General features: G+C 40.5%; 1 protein-coding gene and 1 long non-coding RNA gene across 5 annotated transcripts in view; one reads left to right on the top strand and one right to left on the bottom strand.

Annotated features, from left to right (window-relative positions):
* RORA (RAR related orphan receptor A) overlaps positions 1 to 27,227 on the top strand; it is a 741,019-nt gene that overhangs the window by 521,709 nt on the left and 192,083 nt on the right. The window contains exon 1 of one of the 3 annotated variants that reach the window (XM_011521875.3): positions 1,030 to 1,362. The exons of the other annotated variants lie outside the window; for them this stretch is intronic. Within the exon in view, the coding sequence (XP_011520177.1) occupies positions 1,254 to 1,362 (109 nt within the window). The 5' untranslated portion in view covers positions 1,030 to 1,253. Of the gene's footprint in view, positions 1 to 1,029; positions 1,363 to 27,227 lie in introns of those variants that run through there. 3 annotated transcript variants of the gene reach the window in all.
* RORA-AS2 (RORA antisense RNA 2) lies at positions 20,345 to 26,025 on the bottom strand. Of its 2 annotated transcripts, NR_120318.1 has the most exons (3): positions 25,599 to 26,025; positions 25,161 to 25,235; positions 20,345 to 20,867 (listed from the first exon to the last, which is right to left on the bottom strand). It is a non-coding gene; the product is annotated as an RORA antisense RNA 2 (long non-coding RNA). The 2 variants fall into 2 exon arrangements; NR_120319.1 differs by lacking the exon at positions 25,161 to 25,235.

The following is a 27,227-nucleotide window of genomic DNA, read 5'->3' as shown; positions in this document are numbered from 1 at the left end:
CAGGAGATCGAGACCATCCTGGCTAACACGGTGAAACCCCATCTCTACTAAAAATACAAAAAATTAGCCAGGCGTGGTGGCGGGCACCTGTAGACCCAGCTACTCGGGAGGCTGAGGCAGGAGAATGGCGTGAACCCGGGAGGCGGAGCTTGCAGTGAGCCGAGATCACGCCATTGCACTCCAGCCTGGGTGACAGAGCAAGACTCCATCTCAAATAAATAAATAAATAAATAAATAAATAAATAAATAAATAAATAAAATAAAGAAATAGATGACCATGGATGCTTAAAGGGAAATATTCGTACTTGTATGAGGGGCAAGCTAGAGTCAGAGAGCAGGCTAGAGTGAATTCAGGGGACTGGGTGAGATTTCTTCTCTTCGCAACAGCCAGAATGGAAGCTTTTCCATTCTGAGAAGCTTCAGTAGATGCTCACCTGTCTAGTGGCAAACCAACGGTTACAGATTCCAGTGGCCAATTGAGGGCCATCGGATGGACTTGTTGAGTTCCAACATTGGAAAAAGTGGTATCTTCCCTCAGAGCATGTTGTATGCCTCCATTTGCACAACAAGTGACATTATTAGTGTCTTTCTCTTGTAAAACCACTATCAACTTCTCCTGAGCTAGGTAAGTAAGAATCAGAAACTATTTATTATCTCAACCTGTCAAAAATGTAGTTCACATCAGAGGCAACTAGTTTGTTAATTTGACTGAATTTTCTCTTGGAGGCTTTTTCCTTTTTGGGAGGTAATTTTAGCTGAGCCCCAACTCTGCAGAGAGCTTGTCAGTGGAAGAGTTTCAAGCTTAGGAAGTGCTACTTCGGCTTTTATTTTAAGGTTTGCTCCCTCTTTGCAGAAGCACTCTCTTCCTGTTCATCAGGTATTGATCAAGACAGTGGTATGGGCTTCTGTCTCCAGAGAGGATTTGTGACAATGGGAAGCTGAATTTGGCCCATGGAATGTTTAAAAGTGAAATGGAGCAGCACTTGCAGCAGGACAAATACTTCCCTCTCTCAAGACTCAGGTTGTGATTTATCTTGATACAAAAGATGTAGACTTGTAGTGTATCTCCTATTGCTTCAACAGATAGAAGCTACCAAAACAGATTATTCAATCCCCTGCCCCTTTCTTACCATACTACCTTCCTTCATGCCCCACCCCCAAAATACCCCATACAGACCCACTTTGCAGAGAACAATGGACAGACTCCAGGCAACCAAACGTAAAAGGACAATGAGAAACCAAACCACAGCCACATGGCTGATGTGCTGCTTGAGGGTGCTGTGTCAAGCAGCAAATGGGAAACTGAAGCAATCCGTACTACCCATGCTGTCCTTCTGAAGAAGCCACCAGGCTGGAAGTCAGGTAATGTGGGTTCTTTCACTGGCAAACCTACTAAAACTCATGCTACATGAGCCCAGCTGGTGGAAAAGGCAAAGCATTCAGTCAAACGATCCTGTTTTTTTGCTCAAACTCAATTGATTCTTCTTGTCAATGGGTGGATTCGGTGCTTTGAGGTCACGCAGATCTAGCCTAAATAACTATGCGTGTGCCCTTTTTACCGTGCTTTCTATAGCTCCATTTCCTCACCTGAGACATGCTGATGGTGCCAATGAACCTTCATAATACCTGCCACTTCCCTTTCACCTGGGGACCCTAAGAGGATTAATTAGATATTATCTGTAATATACTTTGCACTCCTTGGAGAAAGATTCTATATAAAAGCAAAGTATTATTATTTCTAAGAGAGATGATACTTATTAGCTCCTTGTAGGATCATTAAGCAAATAGATTATACTTCCCTTTAGAGAAATTATCTCCCAGTTTTCCTAATTCTTACAGTCTATAGAACAGAATATATATTTTAAAAAATTTTAATAATAAAAAAATGTCAGTTGGTTGGTTGGTGAAGGGAATGGGATGGATTTCTAATTCTAACCATAACTTCAGAAGCTTGTTTTTAAGGTCTTAGTTACCAAAGAAAATAGACACTACAATCACCTCTCTGCTTTTAGAAAATGGCCTTGTCTCGACCTTTATCATAATTGCATAGTAAAGACAGCTCTACAGTTCTAAGTTTGTTCATTTTACGGCCTTTTGCCCCTACAATTGTTGAATCCTTTGATTAAATCCCATTGTAGTTAAGTAACTGTTCAGAAATCACAGGGTCATCATTATGCACATACTTGTGGTGATAGTCTACAAATTGATAATGTAAGTTATGAGTGGAAAATTTTAAATCCAAACTCCAGTCCACAGAAATTTCAGGGAAAACTCAACCCAATATTCATTTTGTATTTGCCTCATTTTCCACATTGTGTAAAAATTCCTTATTTGGCATTTAATACAAGCCCTGCCTTCAAATGAAACCAGTTCAGCATGCCCTGTGTTTTGGATAACAATAAAAACCACCTAGGTTTTTCATTGTGTAGGTAGGGAACTGCTCACTTTTTCTTTCTTTTTTTTTTTCTGGCACAAAAATGTCATAATGAGAACGATACTCTTACTAGGAGGAAAGCAAAACAAAACACAAAGCAAAATTTTCGAGACGAAAACTCAGAGCAAACGTCTGCAATGCCTCTGTGGGCTCACGAAAAGCATTGCCAACCCTCGGCAGTCACACGTGGAAGCTCATGCCAATCAGATGTTAATCCATTAAACTCATTCACAGCAAAACATAATGTAGGTCAGAGTGGGGAGCAATGTGATGTCGTGTGCAAGCTCATTTACCATCCAGAGCAATATGAGTCAGGGGTGCAAACGTGGAGCACTTCAAGCCAATATTGTACAATACCGAAAGGTAACCATGGTCTGGAACTGAATCAATAACCAACAAGGCTTGCTGTGAGGGTCTCTAATATAGTATTCTGTGAATCAGTGCCCGTCCGACCTAGATTACGCATTTGAAGTACCCTAAACTTTAGTTCTATCTCTACGTTCTTTCTATGGCATTCCTGGTCATCTTTTTCAAGCTTTTATTTTATTTCCTTTTATATTTTATTTCATTTTGGGAGGTTAACACTCCTCTCTGAAAGATTTAAGCAAAACCTAGCCAAATACTGTGAACAGTAGGGGCAAGAAGAAAGAAGACAACAGAAAACCTTGCCCAACAGAGCCCTGGCCATTGTTTTTATTTTTTTTGCATCTCAGCTTCCTCGGCCCCACCCTCTAGGAGTGTGCCTCCAGCACCTTTGGGGAGCCACCCAGGCAGTATGACACCCAAGTTTGTGGGTTGTGTTTGCTCTTAGGATGGGTGTGATGCCGGGAGGGCAGCAACACCCTTCTCTCCTTGCAACCGCATGCCGGTGTGGCCCCTCCTACAACTCACCTCCAAACCAAACCATGAAAAAGCACCAGAGAAGAGCCGAGATGTAAACACCTCGGGAGAAACCTTAACTTTAGACTTCGTCTATTGAAGCTTGGAGTGGCGCATTTTTGTCACGGCTGTGTTGCCTAGAGTCAGAGGTAAAATTCCTTGAGGGTAATGAAGACTTTTAAAGCACGTTGTATTAGAATTGATGTTTTTTGAAAGCAGTTTTAGTAAATGATCAAAATCAAGTTCATTTTATTGTACCCGTCATAAAAGTAAAACAATACTCACTATAACAATTATGGAAAAGACATAAAAGTAGAAAGGAAGAAAATTACTAGATACAATCACAGTTAAATTTTTGGTATGTGTCCTTCTAGACCTTCTTCCTTCCCTTCTTTCCTTTTTTTTTTTCTTTCTTCCTTTCAAGTGCTCAAATATTTCTTAAATCCCAGGTACTGTGTTTTCAGGTGCAAAGATGAGGTATCTGGCAATATATTGCTCTAATCAGAACACAGGATGTGTAAGAATGCACCTTAAATTATGACATAGACTTCTCCATTCATATCATCAGAAAGGATGTGTGATGTGAGCTGGCACCTTCTCAGTCCCTGAAATAACCAGAGAAAATGTTAGGGTGGCATCAACTTAATCGCTATTAAGAAGATTAAGCCTCCTAGCTCTAGTAGTAAAACCGGCTTGTGACTGTCCCCATCTAAGCTGCACACCCTCCCACCTTAGATCCACTGCTGATCAGACAGTGGGATGATCATAATTTGTGTGCATTAAGGCAGAGGGATGAACACGTGTGCCCCTCTGGTGTTCTCTGTGCGTTCTATGTTCATTGAAGAACACAGAGCCAAGTGGGAATGAGGCCAGCAAAGCAACTGGCTTTCAGATGCAATTTTCTGTAACACATCTTAGTGCTATATTTGTCAATGGACTTAGGGCCTCAGAGAACTTTCCAAGGTGAAAACCTAACATTGCTTCCATGGGCGTTGAGGGTAAAGCCCTTAACCCTGCGACTTAATGAGAACAAAATTAAGTGCTTCTTTAAGCAGCTTAGATTTATCTTGTCAATATATGTGATGGGAGGTTTCTTTGTGTGCTTTAGAAAAGAGATTGTGTGTGTGTGTGTGTGTGTGTGTGTGTGTGTGTGTTAATCTGAAGCATCGTCTCCTTGCTCCATTATGTCACCATCCACACTGTTCCTTTATGATAGACAGGGTTCATCTATTCCCTTGCTCTAAACTTAATTACTTTGCAATTAATTCTTTGTTGAAAATAGCAAGGCTCCTAAACTCGGAACATCTCATTGTGAGAAAGGCTGTTTATGGATAGAGGTCAAGGGGACGTATTGGAATATTCCGCAGCACTGCCACAGATATTTTGAATGAAAATGGCAAGAGGGAAAAGGCCCATTCCACACAAGGTGACCATGGAAGGAGAGGGCTTCCTCCCAAACAAACCGAGTTAAAGTCAGCCTTCAAGAATGAAGTTTTAAACATAGCATCATAGAAAAATCTCATGCCAGTAATCTTAAGGAACTACCGTTTTTAGGACCTACCATGTGACAACCACTTGCACATGCATTGTTTCAGTTAATCCTTGTAAAATTTTCCAAGCTAGGTAACATTAATATTAATACTGGCTTATAAGTGATGTGACTTCCTAAGGTTATTCACATACCCTTGAAGGAGTTCATTCCACACTGGTCATTGCTTGATGGTTTGCAGACATAAGATCCTTGAAACTGGCCAGGCGCGGTGGCTCACGCCTGTAATCCCAGCACTTTGGGAGGCCGAGGCGGGCGGATCACTTGAGGTCAGGAGTTCCAGTCCAGCCTGGCCAACACGGCAAAACCCCATCTCTACTGAAAATACAAAAATTAGCCAGGCATGGTGGCTCGTGCCTGTAATCCCAGCTACTCGGGAGGCTGAGGCAGGAGAATCGCATCAACCCAGGAGGCAGAGGTTGAGGTTGCAGAGAGCCTAGATCGCACCACTGCACTCCAGCCTGGGTGACAGAGCGAGACTCTGTCTCAAAAAAAGAAAAGATCATTGAAGCCGAATTACAACCCTATGAGAAGAGTACCATCATTATTTCAGTTTCACAGAAGAGAAAGCCGAGGCTTTGAGAGGGTAAGTGACTTGCCCAATGTTCCACCGCTGGTAAGCACTGATCCCAGCCTCAAACTCCATCATCTGCCTGTGCTCTCAGCTATAATCCTAAACTACCTCTCTCAGAAAGATCTTGTCTTTATCCTCCACCAGTTTGTGAAAACTGCCTTTTAGAGCATTTCCTGCATGTTAGTTGATCAATTAAGCGTTCCTCGGGAGGGTCTAAGAGGGAATTACAGAAATGTGACCTTTATGAGAAGTTGCTGTTGTCTTACAGTATTCCAGGCCTTTGAAGAGTCAAAGACTGATGTAACAGGCTCTGATAACCTCACAGCCCTTTTAAAACACTGCCTCATCACTCTTCCCTCCAGACTTCTGAGGTCACTGGTGAGCATGTTTGCAATACGGAAGGAGAGGAGCACCGTTCCTCTCTCTCCTATAGAAACAGCATGGGCCCGCAAGGACAAGGGCAGGAAAAATCACAGCAGACCGAGTCGGGGACAGGGCACTCCCCGGAGCCTGTGCTGCGGGTGGAGGGCCTGGGCATTGTCAGAGTTCTGCATGTGGTAGGTGATGGATAAATATTGCGGTGAGTGATTGAGCTAGTGAATGCATTCTCACAGTTACAGGGGAGAGCAGAGGCAGTACGTCGGTGAGTTCCAAATCCTTTGTTCACCGGACACTAAATTGAGAGAAACTGAATCCCCAGTTAGAAGTTTCTCTGTGAGATCCTGTGAGATACTGACTCACTTCCTCCATAAACTTCTCCTAACTTCTTCAGTCCCCTTTGATCCATGGTGGTTCTTGCCCATGTGAAGCTTTTTTTACACTACTTCTAGGAAGCTAAGGTGTTTGCATAAAGCTGTACCTTTCCTGAAGGCACATTTGATTCATTCAGCAAATATTCAAGAGATATTTTCCAAGAAGCTATTATGTGCCAGACACAATGGCAGGGGCTTAGGATCAAGAGATAAAAGATATTGTCCGTGTACTTAATTGGAAGGAGTGATGTTCTATATTCTTTGAGAGGGAAGATAGTGAGGGATGAATGTACGTGGTGGGAGTAGTGAACAGACAGACAAGTAAACAAGAGAATGGTAAGTGCAGAGAAGAGTAGGCCGCCTTTGGGTGATTTTTAAAAGGTGCCTCCTTCCTCGGGGTGGAGGCAAACCCAAACCAGGGCACATGGCTTGGCAGTCGGCGAATGAAACATGTCCCCACCCATCCCTTCACCCATGACCTTGGACTGTGACCAACCTGCACAACAGACCACAGCAGGCTGGATTAAGGATGTGCTAGGGAGAGACAACCAATATACTCTGGGTGTGATGGCAAAGTGAAGCCCTGCTTTGGATCTTGAAGGATAAATGGGAATTAGCTCAGTCAAGAAAAAGGAAAGAGCATCCCTAGAAGAAGGAACAGAAAAAAGCTTGGAGGTCTTTAAAAACATGGAACATTTGGAGAGCTATAAAGGCTGAGAAGCCAGGTGCCTTTCTTCATTAAGTAACTTCCTTGATGCCTTGAATACAGCATTTTGTTGGGGAAACGTTTATTGCTGATGAAATACACCAGTGAAAAGATTCCTGACTTCTTTCTTGCTTTGACTACTGGGCTGTTCTTTCCCCGTCATGAAGTAGAGGATGAATGTAAATTATACTCATCCCCATATCTTTGAGGAATGAGTTAAAAATGTCCTTTGGATTCCTGTTTCCTATCAGTGGCATGAAAGATTTCCCTTAAGCATCATCACATTGGCTCTGCTTCCTCCAGTTTCTGCAAAGCTAAGGATGTCAAGGATTTGGGGTATGGTCAGACAGGATCGAAGGTCAACTACCCTGCTGTCCTTCTCTTTAAGGAATGCATTGCTGCTGAAAATTTTGTCCCTTAGTACCTCTGGGATGGCAAATGTCCTGGCAAAAGGGAGTAATAAAGAGGGGTTGTTATATTTTAGACACTTTTGAATAGAGTGGTAAATTGTTATTCAAATCTCATTTGATGGCCAGTGTGCACATTATTCTTCCCATGCTCCAGTTTTTTCAGAAAATATGTGCGTCCTCTCCCCCACTACTTCTCCTAATGAGCACAATTCCCATATCTGGGCAGGGTGGACTTCTCTGCAAAGAAATTTCTGTCTCTCTGACCTCCCTGGCTTTCCTTCCGGACAAAAAACAGAAAACTAGTGGAACAGTCTCAGCAGTGTCATTTCATGTTCTTTATGCGTACTTTGTCTGAAATCAGCAAATGAAGCCCTCTTAGCTTCAGGAATATAATCCTAATCTAAACAAGCTTGTATAAATAGCACAAGGGGTCTTTTTTTTTTTAATAGAATCAGCCCTATTTGGAAAACTCTTGGTAAATATTAAAATATCATAAGTAGTTATTGTGGCAGGCAAAAACTAAATACAATAAAGATAAAAGTGAAACTTCCTGTTATACCAGTAATCTGTTACAGAAAGTGTTAAATATAGATGCTACAGTACTGTGCTTCTCTTATTAGAATCCCCATTTTACAAAGAAGTCAGGAAACTTGCCCAGGTTTACTCAGTAAAAACAAATTTAAGAAGTAGATGCCCCAAATCTCAATGGTTGGCCTTATTTTCTAAAGAAGAGGTGAGCTAACTCAGATTCTACATGTAAATGTTTTGGGCTAGAATTTGGCTCTAAGCCTTTTTGATATCCTGATTTTTTTTCTGACACAACAGACACAGTGACATACCTCTCGGGAGAACAAAGAAAGACATAAGATAGTTGGTGTGTTGTTTAGATTCAAATCTTGAGAAGTGGAGTGAAACAATTTCTGTGCAAGCTAAACTAGAGCAAGAAAAAAGTATATTTAGATAATTTTATTTGAATTTTTAAATTAAACATAAAAAGTAAAATCATAAAAATATTTTAAGTATAGGTGAATATATTTTTGCAATAAATAAAGTCCTTATAGGCATGCAAGGAAAGGCAGAAACCATAAATAAAAGATTACTAGATTGGATATTTTAAAGAGGATATTTATAGTAGAATTATTTTTAATAACCAAAAAGGTAGAAATTACATAAAGGGCTATGATTATCAATAAGTGGTAGAGCTAGTTTACATATACAAGAAACAAACTAAACAAAATTTAAAAGAAAAACTGGGGAGACAAGCAACATATGATTAACTATACAGAAGTCTTATAAATTAGTAAGTAGTAAAGGACTAATACCACAATACAAAAGTGAGCAAAGATTATGAACAGGCGATTAACAAAAGAGGAAATACAAAAGTCAAGAAACTTAGACAACAAAAACAAAATTTTTTAAAAATGCAGACAAAACAACATCATAAATGAACAAAGAAATGTCAATTTTAAAGGGACACCTTTTTAGCCAGTTAAATTATCAGGATTTATTTTTCATGATAAAGTTCTGCATTGGGACAGGTGTACACTAATCTAGGAATTATAAATTGGTAAACACTTTTTACAGGACACGATGATATCTATTCAATGCTTTTTAAAAGTTAAACTTTCAAGAATGTACTTCCAAAAAAAAAAAAAAAAACACAAATGCCAAAAGAAATCTATGTAACAAGGATATTTATAGTAGAATTACTTTTAATAACCAAAAAAGTAATTATGACATAAAGGGCTATGATTATCAATAAGTGGTAGAGTTAATGTAAATTTTAATTCTCCATTAAAACATTTAAAATTTTTTTCTACATGTCCTACAGTGAATATATAGTATTTTCAGTATTTAAATCATAATGTATCCTTCTTAAGAAAGATATTGGAGTGCTTTCACAGTGCCATGTCAACGAGGGGCAGGCTAGGGAGTGGTCGGCCCAGTAATTTATTTTATCACTGACATTACTAAGAATTGTCAGGACAGAGTAATAATCAAAAGCAAGCCAGCTTTTAGTGGGGCTTTTTTATTGTTTTTAGGCCATTGCCTGCACACTCCCACAGCATTCCCCATTCTTGAAACTTGACTATAGCTACTGACGCTCCTGGAAAGAAGGAGGAACAGAAGACATCTCAGCTGAAGCATGGAGTATATATAAAAATCACTTGAAACTGAGACTTGATACAATGTCTACAATAAAATACAGAATCACTTCACGACTACAGACACGGAAGTGTTTTTTCCAGCTTACCCACATGATCCTGCTTTAAGTGTAGCATGGCATCATTTTCACTTTGTAGGCGTTTATTTTACACACATGTGTGGGATACCCACAGGAGCCTCGTTTCTCATTATTATATAGGAACTTCACAAGCGGAAGTGTTGTTGGCTGACTGAGAGGTATAACTCTGTGTTTCTCTCCCAGAGGAGCCGTGAATGAGATACCATGTAATATGAATGGAGACCCCCTTAGGCACCCTATAAATTTATTATAAAGCACTGGATTTTGAAATAACAAAAATAACATATGAAATTTGAGGAAAGTATAAAAATTAGAAATTTACGTCTCTTCAGAGTTACCCTAGACCACGGATTCTACTGAGTAACCGGCCTGATTGTGTGAACCCAAGAGCAGGCCTTATTTTATGTAGAGCAAGCAGGCAGAATTACTGCAATGTGTGAGTGGCTCTGAAGTTTCCAGTGTTTGGAAAAAAAAAAAAAAGTAGACTTGAAGGAAATAGCAAATGTAGATGACTCTGCAGGTTAAAGCAAGAAGAATAGATGGTTCAATGAGGTTTTGTTCACTTTTAACATCCACTTTGTAAAGGATCCTTAAAAAGGTTGTGTTTAGGGTTTTGGCTGTACTTGGAAGATGGAAGAAGGGAGGCTTCACTTGAGCGGCAGTGTGGTAGACAAAGCATCTAACCTAGGCTTGTGGCTTTTGAAAAAACAGTTTGTTGGGGTACATGTAGCTCTTTGCTCTAGATGTTTATTCCAATGGGCTTGGCATTTGGTTATCTTTTAAGGAAGTCATAAGCAGAGGTAACATTTGTAATGTGAAATTACTTGAAATTCTATAAAAAGCAATCCATAGCAATTGGCGTTGCTTTTAGTTCATGAAAGCTTAAAAATCTCTCGCCCTGTGTATTGTGGCAGCCAGTCAAAAGTGAGAGCAGAACATAAACCTCGTTCAGAAACCAGGCCCGCATTTTTGCTCCATTTGCAAATCCTTTACAATCCCAGAAAACAGTTGCCCTCTTTCTGTTGCCCACCCTAAATGCAGGTGATATTTACCTATTATATCAGTTTAATGAGCAGGCCATCTCACACTCATTAAGTCGATTTGAAAAATGATCAGAAGAATCAGGACTGTGTCCTCCGAGAATATAAATGCCTCTAAGGCTATATCCATTTTAGGAAAACCAGGTCTTTTACCTTTGCTCTGGCCTCACCTCAGCGTTTTCTTCTACAGCAGAAATAATGCATTTAGTCATTTCAGAACACTGGTTTAATGCATTAATAACTGCAGGTGCTTTTCCTAGAATTTTGGCTCCGCAAGTGTTTCACGGTGAGTGGGTCAAAGGCAGCAAGCAAGGGTCATATAAAGTGAGTATTTTATGAAGCCAGGATACATTGCAGTGTGTAAGCAGAAGCACCCAATATAATTAAAGTAAATGAGGAATATGAGCCATGTAGACTGTCAAAGGCGTATGTGGTGATGTGGTGGTGCGGTGGGCTGGGAGAAAAGGAGGGTAGAGTGGAAAGGCTTTAAAACTATAGGAAATCAGAGAAAATGCTGGCCTTCTGTTCCTTAGCTTCTGGAATTAGGGAGTTGTTATATAATCCAAGCCAGCAGCTAGAGGGGATTTGGCTAATAGTTAACTTAATTTTTCTGGAATGTCTTTTTTTTTTCTGTAAATCAGCCTAAGTGGAAAGAAAGTGGGACTCTCGTCAATGAATCAAATGGCAGGAGGGGCCAGCTGGGAGGACCGATTCCCCCTGGATCCTATACATATTTTACTCGGCTCCGTGGCTGTACTTGGAGTGCAGGTTAAATGAATTGTTCCCATTAGCGAGCTGATAGGACAGCTCCTTTAGATGAAGGAGACTCTGAACTTTGAATGTCACCGTGAGGAAAAGAAAGTGCTCATAGAAAAGTTGACAGTGCCACTTGTGGCAGGATTTTACTGTCATTGTGAAAACTATATAAAATGATGACTTACAGTAAGGCTCAGAGTTTCAGCATAATATATAATAATAATAAGACTTCTGTCAGCTTATAAGTGATGTAGGAGTTCTTTGAAGCGCCGGTGGTTTATCTGTGGCTTGGTGGTCGCGGGAACAGTGCTTTGTGCCATTACTTGCCGGCTGAGGCTGATTCATTCTGCGACTGATGCTCCTGACTGAGTCCTCTTCACTCTGATTAGTCACTTTTGCCTTCATTTGCTGGAACTAAAATCCTGAAAGTTTACTTGCTTCCTCCGTGTACTTTCTCGAGCCATATTTAAAGCACCCTTCAGTAAGCCACAGGAAGCATAGCTGTGGGGACGTGGGGGCGCGAGGCAGGAATCATGAAAAATGAGAATGTTGCGCTGGCTGAAAAGTGCCTGGTGTCTGAGATCAAAGCTGTCTGACCTTCGTCCGTATTGGCATCAGGGTGATGACTTGTTTTCTTTGTTCTGTTACCTTGGAAACTGAGGCACGGGTTTTATGTACGTAAATAAAGAGTAACAGGATCCGTTCTCTTCATCATATAGCAATTGTAAGAATTATTTGGAATATTTAGATCCTGTAACAGGATCTGGTGAAATGCAAGTGAAAAAAAAAAATCAAGATGTTTGTAGAAGGAAATGTATAAGCCAAGAAGAGGTCCCTGGCATGTACATACTCGGATGGATATTGGCACCCTCAAAAAAAAGTCAACAGGGTCTCAAGTGACAAAGACGAAAAGAGAACATGCTAAGGGTTGGGCTAAGTTAGTGTAGCCTGAATTTTTTCAGTGTCCCTAAAATACTTTTTGCTCCTTAAAGTTGTGGATATGAAGAGCAGTGTTGGGAGAAGAGATGGCTTCTAGGAACGTGGGTGGGGCTGATGCAACATGTATGGGCAGAGTGGAATTTGGGTCACTAAGCAGAGGCTTTGGCTGGTACTAGAATACATACATAGGCCTTTCCTCCTAAGCACCATGGGCACAGGGATCATTACTATCTTGTCTGCCGTTGTTTCCCTGTCACCTAACATAGTGCCTGACTAACGTGGGGCAGAGCAAGAACAATTATGCAGTCAACCGGGGGTAGATGGCAAGCCTGAGATTTCATAGACAAATAAATCCCACTTTGCGCTGAAAGATCAAATTGTTCATACGTTGTCCATTAATGAGGTATTCAAATAATTTCAAGCTTCTTTCTGGCCCTGTAGACCTGAATTTAAAGAGATTCTGGGACCAATTAGTGACAGCTCTGAAATTAGAGGTAACTAAAGTGACCTCGCTGCATATGGGTTGATTTACCAATTTGTAAAGGCCTTGAGAGTGCTGGTTTTACATTATGTGGGGAAAAGCAAAGACAAGGGAACACTTGGCTGTGTGTGGCAGGATTGATCCACATGCATTTGGATAATACAATAACATAAGGGTCCAGTCTGTCACCCTGGCAGTGAGGAGTGTCCTCGAGGTTTGGGCGAGGCCCCTCCAGTCCTGGTTATATCTCTTGCTCACAAATACAAGGTGGGTAGAACGGAGGGGCAGTTATGTGCACAACAATACACCATCGAAACTCTCATTTGTCAAATCCAAACTGTACGAAATGAGAAGGGACAACCAGAATGTAAAGCTAGGAGAGCCTATTGGTGAAAGAGTTAACGCTGCAAGGCATGGAGACCACAGGGAGCTCTTGAGCCAGAATTCAGATGCTCATCTTCCGTGCTTTTTGCCGGGTACCTTTGACTTTTGATGTGGGCATGGGAGGAGCATTTAAATCACTGGGCCAGTGTCAGGAGGAGGAGGAAATAAGTTTAATGGCCACTGAAACAAAAACCTTTGACTGAGCTCTGGCCCAGCTCTGCCTTACAGGGACCATTTGACCTTAAACATGCCCCTCCACCTTTCTGACACTCAATTTCCTCACTGCAAAATGGATCCAACAGTATCTTCACTACTTACTTCACAGAGGGAGATGAGGAAATCAGAAAGTAGATTGAAAACATGCTGCCAACTGTTTTGGTTACTGTAGCCTTGTAGTATAATTTGAAGTCAAGCAGCGTGATGCCTCCTGCTTTGTTCTTTTTTGCTTAGGATGGTCTTGGCTATACGGGCTCCTATTAGGTTCCATATGAATTTTAAAGTAGTTTTTTCTAATTCTGTGAAAAAAAAATCAATGATAGTTTAATGGGAATAGCATTCAATCTATAAATTACTTTGGGTAGTATGGCCATTTTCATGATATTGATTCTTCCTATCCATGAGGATGGAATGTTTCTCCATTTGTTTGTGTCCTCTCTTATTTCCTTGGGCAGTGGTTTGTAGTTCTCCTTGAAGAGGCCCTTCACTCCCCTTCTTAGATGTATTCCTAGGTATTTTATTCTCTTTGTAGCACTTCTGCATGGGAGTTCATTCATGATTTGGCTCTCTGCTTGTCTACTGTTGGTGAATAGGAATGTTTGTGATTTTTGCATATTGATTTTGTATCCTGAGACTGCTGAGGTTGCTTATCAGCTTAAGAAGCTTTTGGGCTAACACAGTGGGGTTTTCTAGATATAGGATCATGTCATCTGCAAACAGTTTGACTTCCTCTCTTCCTATTTGAAAGAATATTTCTTTCTTTCTCTTGCCTGACTGCCTTGGCCAGAATTTCCAATACTATGTTGAATAGGAGTGGTGAGAGAGGGCATCCTTGTCTTGTGCCAGTTTTCAAGGGGAATGCTTCCAGCTTTTGCCCATTCAGCATGATATTGTCTGTGGGTTTGTCATAAATGGCTCTTATTATTTTGAGGTATGTCCCATGAACACCTAGTTAATTGAGAGTTTTTAACCTGAAGGGATGTTGACTTTTATTGAAGGCCTTTTCTGCATCTGCTGAGATAATCATGTGGTTTTGTCTTTAGTTCTGTTTATGTGATGAATTACATTTATTGATTTGCACATGTTGAACCAGCCTTGCATCCCGGGGATGAAGCCAATTTGATCATGGTGGATTTGTTTTTTGATGTGCTGCTGGATTCAGTTTGCTGGTATTTTATTGAGGATTTTTGCATCAATGTTCATCAGGGATATTGGCCTGAAGTTTTCTTTTTTTGTTGTATTTTTGCCAGGTTTCGGTATCAGGATGATGCTGGCCTCATAGAATGTGTTAGGGAGGAGTCCCTCTTTTTCAATTGTTTAAAATAGTTTCAGAAGAAATAGTACCAGCTCCTCTTTGTAGCTCTGGTAGAATTCAGCTGTAAATCCATCTGGTCCTGGGCTTTCTTTTGGTTGGGATCAGTCACACAGTTTTAGAGAGATTGAACCTCTTTTTAAAGTTTTCCAGCCAGCCCTTACTGGCTTGAATTTTTTATTATGAAAATTTCAAACATGAATGCAAAGAGGGGCAACAGTGGAATGAACTGCCCTATACCCAACACCCAGATTCAGCCTTACCAACATTTTGTCACACTTGCTTTATCTATCCCTGTTTCCCTTTGCTAAAGCATTTTAAAGCAAATCCCAGACATCATATCATTTCATCTTTACATATTTTAGCATGCATCCTGCTCAAAAGTAAATGCCCAGTGCTCTCACATTCTCCCTTGTTTCCTTTACAAGGCTGCTTAGAAATGTTTTGTGATTGCTATTGTGTTCTGTTTTCTGGACCTGCTATGTAGCGTGAACTCATTTTTCCTTTCTGTACTACCCCACAGACCTGCCATGTGGTCCAAAAGAGTATTAGTCAAGAAATGATGCTGCATTGTTTTATTTAGGAAGAATGACCCAAAATTCACAGATTAAGTAATAATAATAATAAACTAAATATTTACAATTGGGATTATGCAAATATAAAACAGAGCTATCTTTAAAAATAAAGTGTATTTTTTTAAAAATCTGGCAAAAACAGTTTTGCCAAACTACTATTCCAACTGATCCCAGCTTAATTCAATGGGAATGGCATGCTGACTTTTTATTATAAAATCACTTTGAATAGGAGAGAAATTGTTAAACTCAAGTTAACCTCTAAGCTGTTGTATCTAAGAACTATGCATATTGAAATCACTGTTTCCAAAATAGTTTTCTCAATCTCAGAAATGAGAGAGTTATCCTGAATTGCCATGTAGGAGAAGCCAGCCACACAAGCCTGGCTTCTTGCTGTATGTAGCATATGGTTAACTAAAAAGTTTTCTGCAGATTCTTTATTATCCCAGAGCCAATATGAGATTAGTTTTACAAGTTGGGTTATAACCTTTACAGCTTCTGGGTTGGGGATCTGCTAACAAGATCATAAAGATCTTTCTAACAGATGAGGCATGCATGCCCTGTGTTCAGCTCTGGTAATGACCAAATCAATTTTATCACAAGTGTTTAACAGTGCCATTTTAACTTTTCTATTGATTGCCTGACCTTTGCTTTGGGTCCTGGGGTTAGCGTGTGTTCTCTCCCCTCTCACTCTTTGTATGTAGCCTTCCAGTTTCTCTTCAGCTGTGCAAACCTCTCTTTAGATGTCCCCGACCTTCTCAGTTAGCACTTGTCTCACCCTCTATGCTCCTCTTGTCTTCTCTACACACTTCCAGGAGCTTTGGAGTCACTATTGGTAAACTAGATGTGTGGCTTTGGGGAGTCAACTTCATTCACTTAACAAGTTTTTCTGATCCTCAGTTAACAATTTTTTGTGAGTATCTATATGCCAGGCACCATTCTAGGCATCACAAATACAGTGGTATACCAAGGATGGGAAGTCCCTGCTTCAAGAATTGAAATTGTTGGGAAGACATACAACTGTATCATAGAATGTCAGGAGGAGGGAACTATTGTGAAGATACAAAGTAAAGCAAAATGGAGAGGGGGGCAGGGAGAGCGAATGTGGATAAGCCGGCTGGGAAGCATTCTAGCAGGAGATGAGAGCTGAGCAAAGATCTGAATGGATGTGAAGGAGACCTGCGGAGAAGTGGAGGGAAAGTGATACAGGCAGAGGGAACTACAAACAGAAAGGATGTGAGTCTGGAGCAAGCTTAGAGCTTTAGAGAAAATTTAAGATGGCTAGTGTGGAAGAATGAGATGGGTGAGACAGAGAGAGAGGGAGACACTAGGTCGGAGAACCAGGCAGGCCGGATCATGTAGGACCCTCTTAACTGTGGAAGGAGTTTGAGCAGGGGACTGATGTGATCGGATTTATAGTTCAAAAAGTCACTCTGGCTTACATGGAGCTTCTAAGTAAGGCTAGTGAAATTGTTCCTGGGTCCAGTTGAGGTGTCCTGTATGGTAACAGGAAGACTTCAACGCGTCCAGGCCTCAGAGCCCACAGAGCCACTCCTGTGTAGGGTGCTACTTTTTGCTCTGCTCCTAATTGGCTGGCTGACTTGAAAACAGTTGCCTAATCCCTCTGAGTCCCAGTTTGCTGTCCTTTTTCAGGGAAAGGTACAATTTCTTTAGTCTATTCCAGATCTAACATTTGGGGATTTTAATCTATAAACTAGTTATTTCCTAACCCTGTGTTTTTGTTAGGGTAAAGGTTGAAAACTATTGTAGCAAAGAGACTCAAGAACACAGTGACTTATATGAGGTAGAAGCTGGCTTCTCTCTCCTGTGGTATTGAAGCCAGTGGAGGCTGCCAAGGAAGCTCTGCTCACAGGTCCTGTCTGGGTGCTCTCTCCTGTCTCCAAAGGTGGCCTTGCCCACATGGCTGGAGCTGGGTCATGGCCTTATGCAAGTTCCAGTCCATGGGAAGAGAGAGAGAAAGGATATCCAGAGTGAACAGCTTCCTTTTAAGTGACATGGAAGTTACACACACCCCTCCTGGTCACATGTCTTGGTAAGAATCTAGTCTTTTGGCCATACCCAGCTGCAAGGGACTCTGGGAATTACAGCCTCTAACTGGATGGCTATGTGTCCATCTAAAACTTGACTGCCCTGGAGGAATGGGAGAATGGATTTGGTGGGGCAGCAAGAAAACAACTGCACTCTGTTTTTGGAGGACCCCAGAGTATTATTGCCAGACACCTTACACTCATAACATTTCCTGGACCTTTGTAGTAATTTCATGGAACTGTGGTAACAAAGTGCCACAAACTGGGTGGCTTAAAACAACAGAAATTGTTTTACGCCAATTGTCGTTGGCACAGGCAAACACCTGTGTGGTAGCTAAAGGATGGTGGTGTTCTCTCACAGTTCTGGATGCTAGAAGTCCCAAAATCAAGGTGGCAGCAGAGCCTTGCTCCCTCTGAAGGCTTTAGGGAAGAAGTTCCTGAAGCCTCTCTCCTAGCTTCTGGTAGTTGCTAGAAATCCTTGGCATTCTTGAGCTTATAGCTATGTCACTCCAATCCCTCCTCCATCTGCATGTGGCCTTTTTCTCTATGTGTTGTCTGTGTCCCTGAATGCACATCTCCCTCTCCTTCCTCTTACACAGATAGTAGTAATTAAATTTAGACTAAATCTAAATACTTAGTCTAAGTATTCAGATGACTGGTCCCTGGACCAGTATTGCCTCATCTTAATTATATCTATAAAGATATGATTTCCAAATGAGGTCACATTCGCAGGTATCAGGAGTTAGGACTTGAATATGTCTTTCTGGGGGATGCAACTCAACCCGTTACAACCTTTTTAAAACTAAAATTTAAAAAAAGACAAATGGAAAAAGAATAATTTAAAAGAGAAGAACTGTGCTAGTTGAAATCAATCAAAATATAACAAGGTATGTCAATCTCCAAAAGAACCCATAGTTTATTCTGAAGCTCGGGGCCACCTTAGTGTCTCATCCCAAGGACATATGGGCCTTTTTTCCTTCCTTTCTCTATGGAACATTCCAATGCATTCCTGTAAGATGCATTGCCATCAGATAACATTGCTTAGATAATAGAATTCACTGACAGCTGACCACTTTCAGCTTTGCACTGCCTATACCTTTTGATAATCACAACAGCCTCATGAAAAAGGTATCCTTACTTCCATCCTACAGATATTGAAACTGAGGCTCAAGCTAAGTAGCTTGCCTCAAGTGAAACGACTAGTTGGTAGGTGAAACTGGGCTTGCAACCTGGGTCTTTCTGACTCCAGAGGTCATCCTCTTTGTATTACAGGGCACTAACTCCTGGAGATTTATCAGGAGGTCCTGATGAAAGGGCTCACTCCTGCCTTGAGGATTTTGTGATCAGTCTCTGAGGTAGCACCTGTACTGCAGAGGTCTCCACAGGCCTTTGGTTGCTGGTATGTGTTGACACTGTAGTCATATGCCCTATAGTCATTGGCTTAGGCAAACACCTGTGTGGTAGCTAAAGGGTGGTGGTTTTCCTAGGAGTCAAAAGTTGTCCCAAGTCAGCCCCTGGGTCTCTCACTGCATTCTCGAGCACTGTGTAAAATACATGGTACTAAGCAAGCCTTATTTTTCAGACCTTTATCAGCATATTGGTTATGATTACCATTTTGGCAAGTATTATCAGATTATCCATCACCATAGGGCACTCCTGAAAGTAGCCAGCTATGCTATCACACTTTCACTTCAGACTTCACATAGGGTTCTCTAGAAAGGATAATGCAATTAGTACTTGCCATAGGAAACTGGGTCTCCTAACAGTCACAGAGAGATGTTTGCAATATTAAAAACTAATATTAGGTCAACATTGCCTTGCTTTATTTCATTTTATCTTCACAGTAACCTTGTGGAATAGTTATTTAATATTAACTTTTCTTTCTTATTATTATAATTTTATTTGTACAGGTGTTTTATAGAAATTTTAGAAAACATAGACAAAGAAAAATCAGTCATAATTCCTCCACCCAAACATAATCACTCTCATTAATTTGGTGTATGTATTTTTTGTCTTTTTTCTATACATTTTTTTTTCCTTTTTTGACAAAATGATATACTATGCTTTGGGACTTTGAATTTTTTTGTTTCTCATAATGCAGCTGGAACATCATTGTCTCTGATTTATTTTTCTTTATTTTAATGATGGTAGCGCCTTCCATTTGGTAAACATATCATGCTTTATTTGCCATCCTCTACTGCTAATATTTGGGTGTTCCCTTGAATGTTTTGCTGATATAAATAATATTATGATAACTCTTGTGTATATTCATGATTAATTCCTAAAATTTCTAGTGGTGGAATTTTAGAATGAAAGAAGAAATCTTTTTCCTCTCCTTTTAGTGATGAGGAAACTGAGGATCGGAGAGAGTATCTTGCCCCAAATTATATAGCTGGTAAGTGGCAGAGCTGGGAAAAGAATCCAGATTTCCTGATTCTAAAATCCCATATGGGAACATAGCTTGTACATCTAATCTAACAATACCAAACTTTTCTTCATAAAATCTGTGAATGCAAGGTAAGTATTTTGTTGTTGTTGTTTTGGAGACGGAGTCTCATTCTGTCACACAGGCTGGAGTTCAGTGGCACAATCTCTGCTCACTGCAACCTCTACTTCCTGGGTTCAAGTGATTCTTGTGCCTCAGCCTCCTGAGCAGCTGGGACTTCAGGCATGCGCCACCATGGCTAGCTAATGTTTTTGGTATTTTTTGGCAGAGATGGGGTTTCACCATGTTGGCCAGGCTGGTCTCAAACTCCTGACCTCAAGTGATCTGCCCGCCTCGGCCTCCCAAGAGAAGTATCTTGATGGCTACTTTCTTTTCTTGAGCTTTTATCCAGCAATCACCAATCCAGACAAACTGCCTAAAGTTCTGTAATCAGAGGGGAGTAGAGAGGCTACAAATAGTAATGATCTATGATTTCCTAATTTATAATTTAATCAGTTTTTCATATGTCTTCTTCAAAGTGTTAATAATATTGATACTCTAAAAAATTCTTTATGGACCCATGGTATTCTATATATCAGGAAATAACTGGTCACCACCTCTCTACTTTTAAATATTTGTTTAATACCCCATTGGATCCTAGGGCTTTTACTTTTCATCTTATCTGAGAGTGGGCCTCATTTCCTCCAAATTTAGAACTGAATTTCTATTGTGTCCACTTTGGCAGATTCCCTCTCTTCTCTAGGTGATTCAAGACATGAGTGAATGCATGGGGTTTTTCCTTCTTCCATCATTACATAGTGATACCCTTGGTCTATCTATGCTTCTGCCATCAGTAGCAGACTTCGTTCTGGGGGGAGCTGCAGACCAGGTGATATTTCTTCAGTCTTTACTTGCCTTGACTTGGTATGCTGACCAGGATCCATGCTCGATGAGGTATGATTTAGGTTGTCTATCCAAGGGCATGATTCATGCAAACTTCCCATAGTGTCTGACTTGCTTTGGGGCCAGCAACTCCATAATCTTTGGGCCATCCTCATCCAACCTGTTCTGGTAGCTTCGACTTTGGGGGCTGCAGCTATAGCCGGCATCCAGGCAAGTCACCCACAGACAGTTCACTTCCGTACCTGCCCATATGAGTGACAAAGATAAACAGATTTAACAGATTGCAGAGGCACATAAAGTAAAGCATTTCTGGAAAAGCATGGTGTAAGCTGCTGATGTTTACCTGAGCTGAATTATTCACTTAGAAGATAAAACTGCTCAATTCTAGAAGGCTAAGCTGAAAGTGTTGATATCAGTTCACACCTCTGCCCTCAGAGCTCCAAGATCAAATTTAAATCAACCAGGTAATATCGAATGGATAGCATCATCTTCCATACAGACACTCAATAAAAGGAAATCAATTTGAAAAAATAAGGCTTCTTATGATTCTTACTATACATAAGTACTAATCATACTTTGGGACGAGTAAATAACAAGAGAAATTGCCCTCCTTACATATGGACTTTTCGTAGTGCATTGAATAGTAATCTCTGAGAAGAGGGATGTTTCCCAAATAAGTTTTGTCTGAAGATTTCTTTCTCTGATAGACTGATGGTCTCTTTATGTTGCCTTTGCTGGGGAACCCGGAATGAGGCTTTGTCCTTGGAACTGTTTTGTTAAAGATAAAGGCAGGACTTGAAAGAGGGCATACTTCTGGTCTGCCTGTCCAAAATTAAAAGATATTTCTGGGCACTAATGTCAGGAAATATGACCTAGAGATGGAGAGCAATCACAAATTTTTTTTTTGAATTCAAAAAACAGGAAAAATTCCTCTTATCCATTCCCATAACCATTTTTCAAACTAAAATGGAATATTTTTCATGGCGTCCAAAGCACCTTGGTTGGTAAAAGAGCTGAAATATTATTGCCGAAACAGCTCAACCTAGGCTCAAATCGAACATAAAAGAAACCTCCCATTATAGTATTATTAATGTTCATAATTAGTATATCTAAATGATTTTTAAAGGCTTTTTATGCAATTACAAAATGTTTGATTGTCGTAACATTGCTAATGCTTTGATGCCTTCCACGTGTTGTCCTTGGTCCCTGCAACCCTGGCACATAATTTATTTCTCTTTTGAGTGAACTCTAAGCATTAGTGTCCATTAAGAATTTTTGAAACAAAGTCCAAAGATTACTTGGAGCACTTTCAGTAATATGTACTGATTATCATTAATAGTTCTTTTGTCCTAGACAAGGACATTGTTTTGTAACATCATTTTGTTTGGCGAGGCCCTACTCGGGCTGTGTTCCGGATCCGCCTCGTGCATAGATTTTCTTTTTGACTATGTGTAGAATGGAGCAGTCTCCTGGGACAACTCAGGATTGAGGAGGAGGGGGACATAAGGCCAGCACAAAGTGATATTTTTTCTTTAGAAAACAATTATTAGCTATTCAAAAAAGAAGCCTAAATTCTAGGCCTCGTTTCTTAGCTAGTGTTCATGCACTGCGTGTAAATTTGCCGTTTTAACTGCTAGCGCCTCACAATGAGGAAGTCAAAAAGAAGTAAGGAGAGCACAGCGGATCCAGGAGACCACAGCCTTTGCAGCATGCTTGTTGAGAATGTGGCAGGGAGTGGGTTAAGTGTTTGGGTTTTATTTGGAAAATTCTTTCCTTAGCTCTCCAATGCTGCCTTCCCGGATTATCCCGTTTAATAACAGGATTAATGGGTTTTGCCTATGTCCAGTCAAGGGTTGTCTCTCTGTTTGTCTAATATAAAGTGGATTCACAAGGTGTATGCAATAAGAAACATACTTTAGTAGGAAAGAGGTACTATATCCTGTGCCCCACGTGAATTATCTTACATTTTACTATAAACCTAGTCCTAAGAATTTTATTCCCATTTTATGGAATAAGAAAAGAAAGGCTCAGAGAAGTTAAGCTATATTTGCCCAAGCGCTCATAGCTTAAATAATAGGTGTCTTCTTTAACTCAGACATCTTGCAGGGAGGGAGAATAAATCTTGTGAAAGCCTTCAGATTTGGAGCCCTGCTTTTCTAGGAATTAAAGGAGGAGTCAATGTGCAAGCCTGGTGTAGAGACATGAGTTGGGCCAATTCAAGACTTTGTTCATTATCACTCAACACATCTCTTCCTCCCTGCCACATTCACTTGCAAAGTAAAAATATTGACATATTTTTAAAATAAAAGGAAATCTACATGGCATGGTTTTGAGTGGTTTGTTTGTTTGTTTGAGATGGAGTCTCGCACTGTCGCCCAGGCTGGAGTGCAGTGGCGTGATCTCAACTCACTGCAACCTCCACCTCCCAGGTTCAAGTGATTCTCCTGCCTCAGTCTCCCGAGTAGCTGGGATTACAGGCACCCACCACCACACTTGGCTAATTTTTTGTATTTTTAGTAGAGACTGTGGGTTTCACTATGTTGGCCAGGCTGGTCTCAAATGCCTGACGTCATGATCCACCCATCTCGGCCTCCCAAAGTTCTGGGATTACAGGCGTGAGCCACCATGACCAGCCTGTTCGTTTTTTAATGCTAACACAGAATTTTTTCATGTTTATAATATCTCTATCTCAAAAGTTGTTTTCTCGTTGCAAAAGAGGACAAAAGAAGACACACAGGCTGAATACTGGCAAAGTGGCAGAGTGGCATCAAGTCTAGGGCCTTGTCCAGGATACAAGGCCTCTGGAAATGCTGGTTTGGTAATTGCAAAATTTGGGAAGAGGAAAAATGCCACCTCTTACTAAAAAAAAAAGAAAAAAAAGTAAAATTAACTGGATACCCAGACAATTTCCTAAAAACCAAGAGACAATTAGAAGTCAGTCAAGAAAGTTAACTGGTCCAAGATTTGGCACTGACGGGAAATACCAGCTTACATTCCTGAAGTGCTCTGTTCTGGGATGACTATAATGAAACTTCCCTACTGATAACCATGGCAGGGCTAAATCTGTGATATTTTCATGACATTTCCTTTGCTTTACTTTGAAGCATGGCCAGTTAAAGAGAGTCAAGCATTTTTGCTGTATTAGAAGCTCAACTTTGCTTTGGACCGAATATTTTGGGGCCTTTTAGCCCTCTTAGTTTTAGGGGTTTAATTGGCAATTTAAAACTTCTGTCATATTGTTAAGTTAGAAATTGTGCTCAAGCATTACCTGGAAATCTGGAAATACACCTGCCGTGTGTGTGTGTGTGTGTGTGTGTGTGTATGTGTATCTGGGTAAAATAGAAGGAGTCTTACAGCTTTATCAAAAGGTGCCATTTTTCTCTAGCCCAGATAATTTTTAAAGATCTCCCAAGAAAAGTGCATCTTTTACTTATATAACCTTTTGTGGGCACTGTCTTTTTTCTTCTTTGGTTGTTAAAGGCAAGAAGAAAAAAGTTTCAGGGGGTTACCTTTGATTATGAGCCACATTGGATTTCTTACAGTGAGAAATAGATCTGACAGCCTGTTGCTTGGAAAGATGTGGTTTGGCTTGATAGCTTAGAAGCAGGGCAAGGAGCCATTGGTTGATGAACTGGAAGGGAAATTAAGAAATCATGTTGGCTGGGCAAGGTGGCTTACGCCTTTAATCCAGCACTTTGAGAGGCTGATGCAGGAGGATTGCTTGAGGCCAGGCATTCAAGATCAGCCTGAACAACATGGCAAGACCCCCATCTCTACAAAAAAAGTAAAAATTCTCTGGGCATGGTGCCACATGCCTGTAGTTCCAGCTACTAGGGAGGCTGAGGTGAGAGGATGGCTTGAGCCTGGGAGGTCAAGGCTGCAGCGAGCTATGATGGTGCCGCTGCACTCCAGTTCAGGCAACACACTGAGAACCTGTCTGGAAGAAAAAAAATGTCACTGACTACCTCATTCTGCATATAAGAAAACTAAGACCCAGAGAAGCTAAATTATTTGCCCAAGTCATCCACCGTGTTCACTTTGGGCGCAGGGTGTATGTGTATTTTAGGTTTAGAAACTTGGTTCCACCCCGTCATTCACCACAATTCTATCAAGTCCCTATCTCTGTAGAGAGCATTACCCTGCTCGTGGTCTGTTTGTGAATCTCTGGGGAAGGATCTTGGTGTTCTTCCCAGTCATTTGGAAGTGAATCAAAACCTGCACAACAGCTGGACTTGGTTCGATGCCCTTCGGTAGTGGGGACCAAAGTCCTTGCCTGTGCTGATCAGCAGCCCACTTGGATAATGCAGCCACTTGCTAGTGAGTAGGCAGCTTCCTTTTGTTTATTTTTTTAAATTTAAGACTGGGTGTCACTGTGTTGCCCAGGCTGGACTTGAACTCTTGGGCTCAAGCTATCCTCCTGCCTCAGTCACCCGAGTAGCTGGGATTACGGGTACCCACCACCATACCAGGCTCTTTCTCTAGACTTTAGAGAGTAAAGCGAATGGAGCTTGGGATCTAGAATAGAGTACACTTACTTTAAGGAACTTGGTTCTCCGTCTCATGCTGTCTTCCATCAAATATGAGGATATTTTCTAGTCAGAGTACTTGGTCTGAAAACCAGAGTCCTAGGCCATGAGTCAGTATGAAACTGAGGGACATCATGAGTAGCAATGGCATAGCTTTCACTATCACATGGTAATTCAGTTTGGTTAAACTAATACTATGTGAGTTGCTCACCCCTTACCAAAGTCATTTGTGTCACACTTCCCAATTTGTAAAGCTCTTCATACATCCTTATTTCCTTTAATTTTCACAACAGTCTTTTAAGTGTCATCATGATTGTATACAATTTTAAAAACCAAGAAATTCAGGACTAGAAAAGTTAAGTAACTTGTTCAAGGTCTCTCAACCTAGAAGCAGGAAAATGGGCTATACACGCAAGCTCAGGTCAGCTTGACTCCAGATCTAGTTACCTTAAGAGCTGCCTTTATTCTTGGATTCCTCATTAGAATCAGAATTATTTGCTTCCTTGAGACTTATTGTAGTTTATCTTTAGTAAGCCTAATTCTCCCAAAAATCTCGATTCAGAGCTACTGCTGGTGGTAGCACTAGGTTTGCATACGATTTTTTTTCTGAAGGCCTTTCTCCTTCCACTTGAGGAAAAACACTGGCAATGTATGACTGCTATGAGCTCACTGAGGCTGACCTCTCCTCCTGGTGAGAAAAACAGGAATCTTGTAACCTCTAGGAAAATGAGAAAAAGAAAAGGGGAGACCCATCCCTCATTTAAGGGTGAGAAAATGGCTGCTGGTAACAAACCCAGGCACACATGCCTGCTGCGAATGAAGGCCTAAGGTGGGCAAGTGTGGGTAATTCGGTCAGCTGGATTCCTGGCAGAATACTATGTTCTAGAATATTCCGGAACATTCTAGATTCAATTCAATATGCTCTTCTAGTAGTAGGGACTGTGGTTTCTGTGTGTTTGCATCAGCATCTGAGTACATCTTTCACCCAAACTCAGGATGAGTCTTCCTGGTTTAAATATGGCTGAGGGCACTCCCATAGGTTTAAATTATTTACAGAGCTGACTGCTGAGTGGTATGCTCCAAGGAGTAAAACTTTTTTGAGTATTTACTCTTTTGAGGGTACATCTACACTAGTGTTTTTAAAGATTTGCCATGAGTGTACTTCCAGTTTAATATAACTTTCCACAGAGAAATGTCTTATTATGCCAATTAAACTTTCCTGAGCCTCAGTTTCCCCATCTGTGAAATGAAAAGGATGTTTTCTGCTTTTTTTGGTACTTCTATGGAATCATTTACTATGAAGTACTAGAGCTTCTATGGAGAAATTAGGTTTCAGAGGATCAAAGAGAATTCCAATACATTTTCTGATTTTTTTCATTAAATTTGCCTTTTGTGTGTTTGTATTGTTTTTGTTTGTTCACTTTCTCTAGGGAAATAGACTTCTGTCTTCAGAATGGCTAGGTTAAAAAAAATTAAATATCATGCACAGTCGTATCTCCATAATTAAGCAGTTGTAATGCAATTTTAACAAATATTGCTCTTGTGTCAGGAGTGTGTCTTCTAAGCTTTTCTCCATAAAAATGTGTTTATTAATTGATTGGTATATCTTCATTGGCTATAATAAATATAATTTACATTCTTCTTGTATAGGTTAAGGCTGCCATATAAAATACAGAATGCACAGTTAAATTTGAATGTAAGATAAACTACAAATTAGTATCAGAAATTCAAATTTCACTGGGTAGCCTGTATTTTATCTACTAAATCTGGCAACTCCAATATAAGTGTAGCTCCCAGTTATTTATATTGATTATTAATTGACAGTTAAACAAAACTGAGGGACCGAGAGATTGTGTTGTTGCCAAAGTCATGCTTCCTCCTGGAGACAGATAATGAAAAGTTTTAGCTCCATGCCAGCTACTGCGACCTCCGAGATCAAGCAGCTTTCTTGGGAAGATTTTCAAAATCTATTATCAATGTAATCGTCATGAAAATATTTGATGAGAACACTGCATCACGCTGTATAATAAATTTAAGTAGAAAAGTCAAAGCAGTGGTATTTTCATCAGGCCTTTG

Source organism: Homo sapiens, chromosome 15, assembly GCF_000001405.40.
Source record: "Homo sapiens chromosome 15, GRCh38.p14 Primary Assembly".
Taxonomy (NCBI): domain Eukaryota; kingdom Metazoa; phylum Chordata; class Mammalia; order Primates; family Hominidae; genus Homo; species Homo sapiens.
The sequence above is the reverse complement of the archived record's forward strand: the minus strand, read 5'-3'. Positions and strand labels throughout refer to the sequence as shown.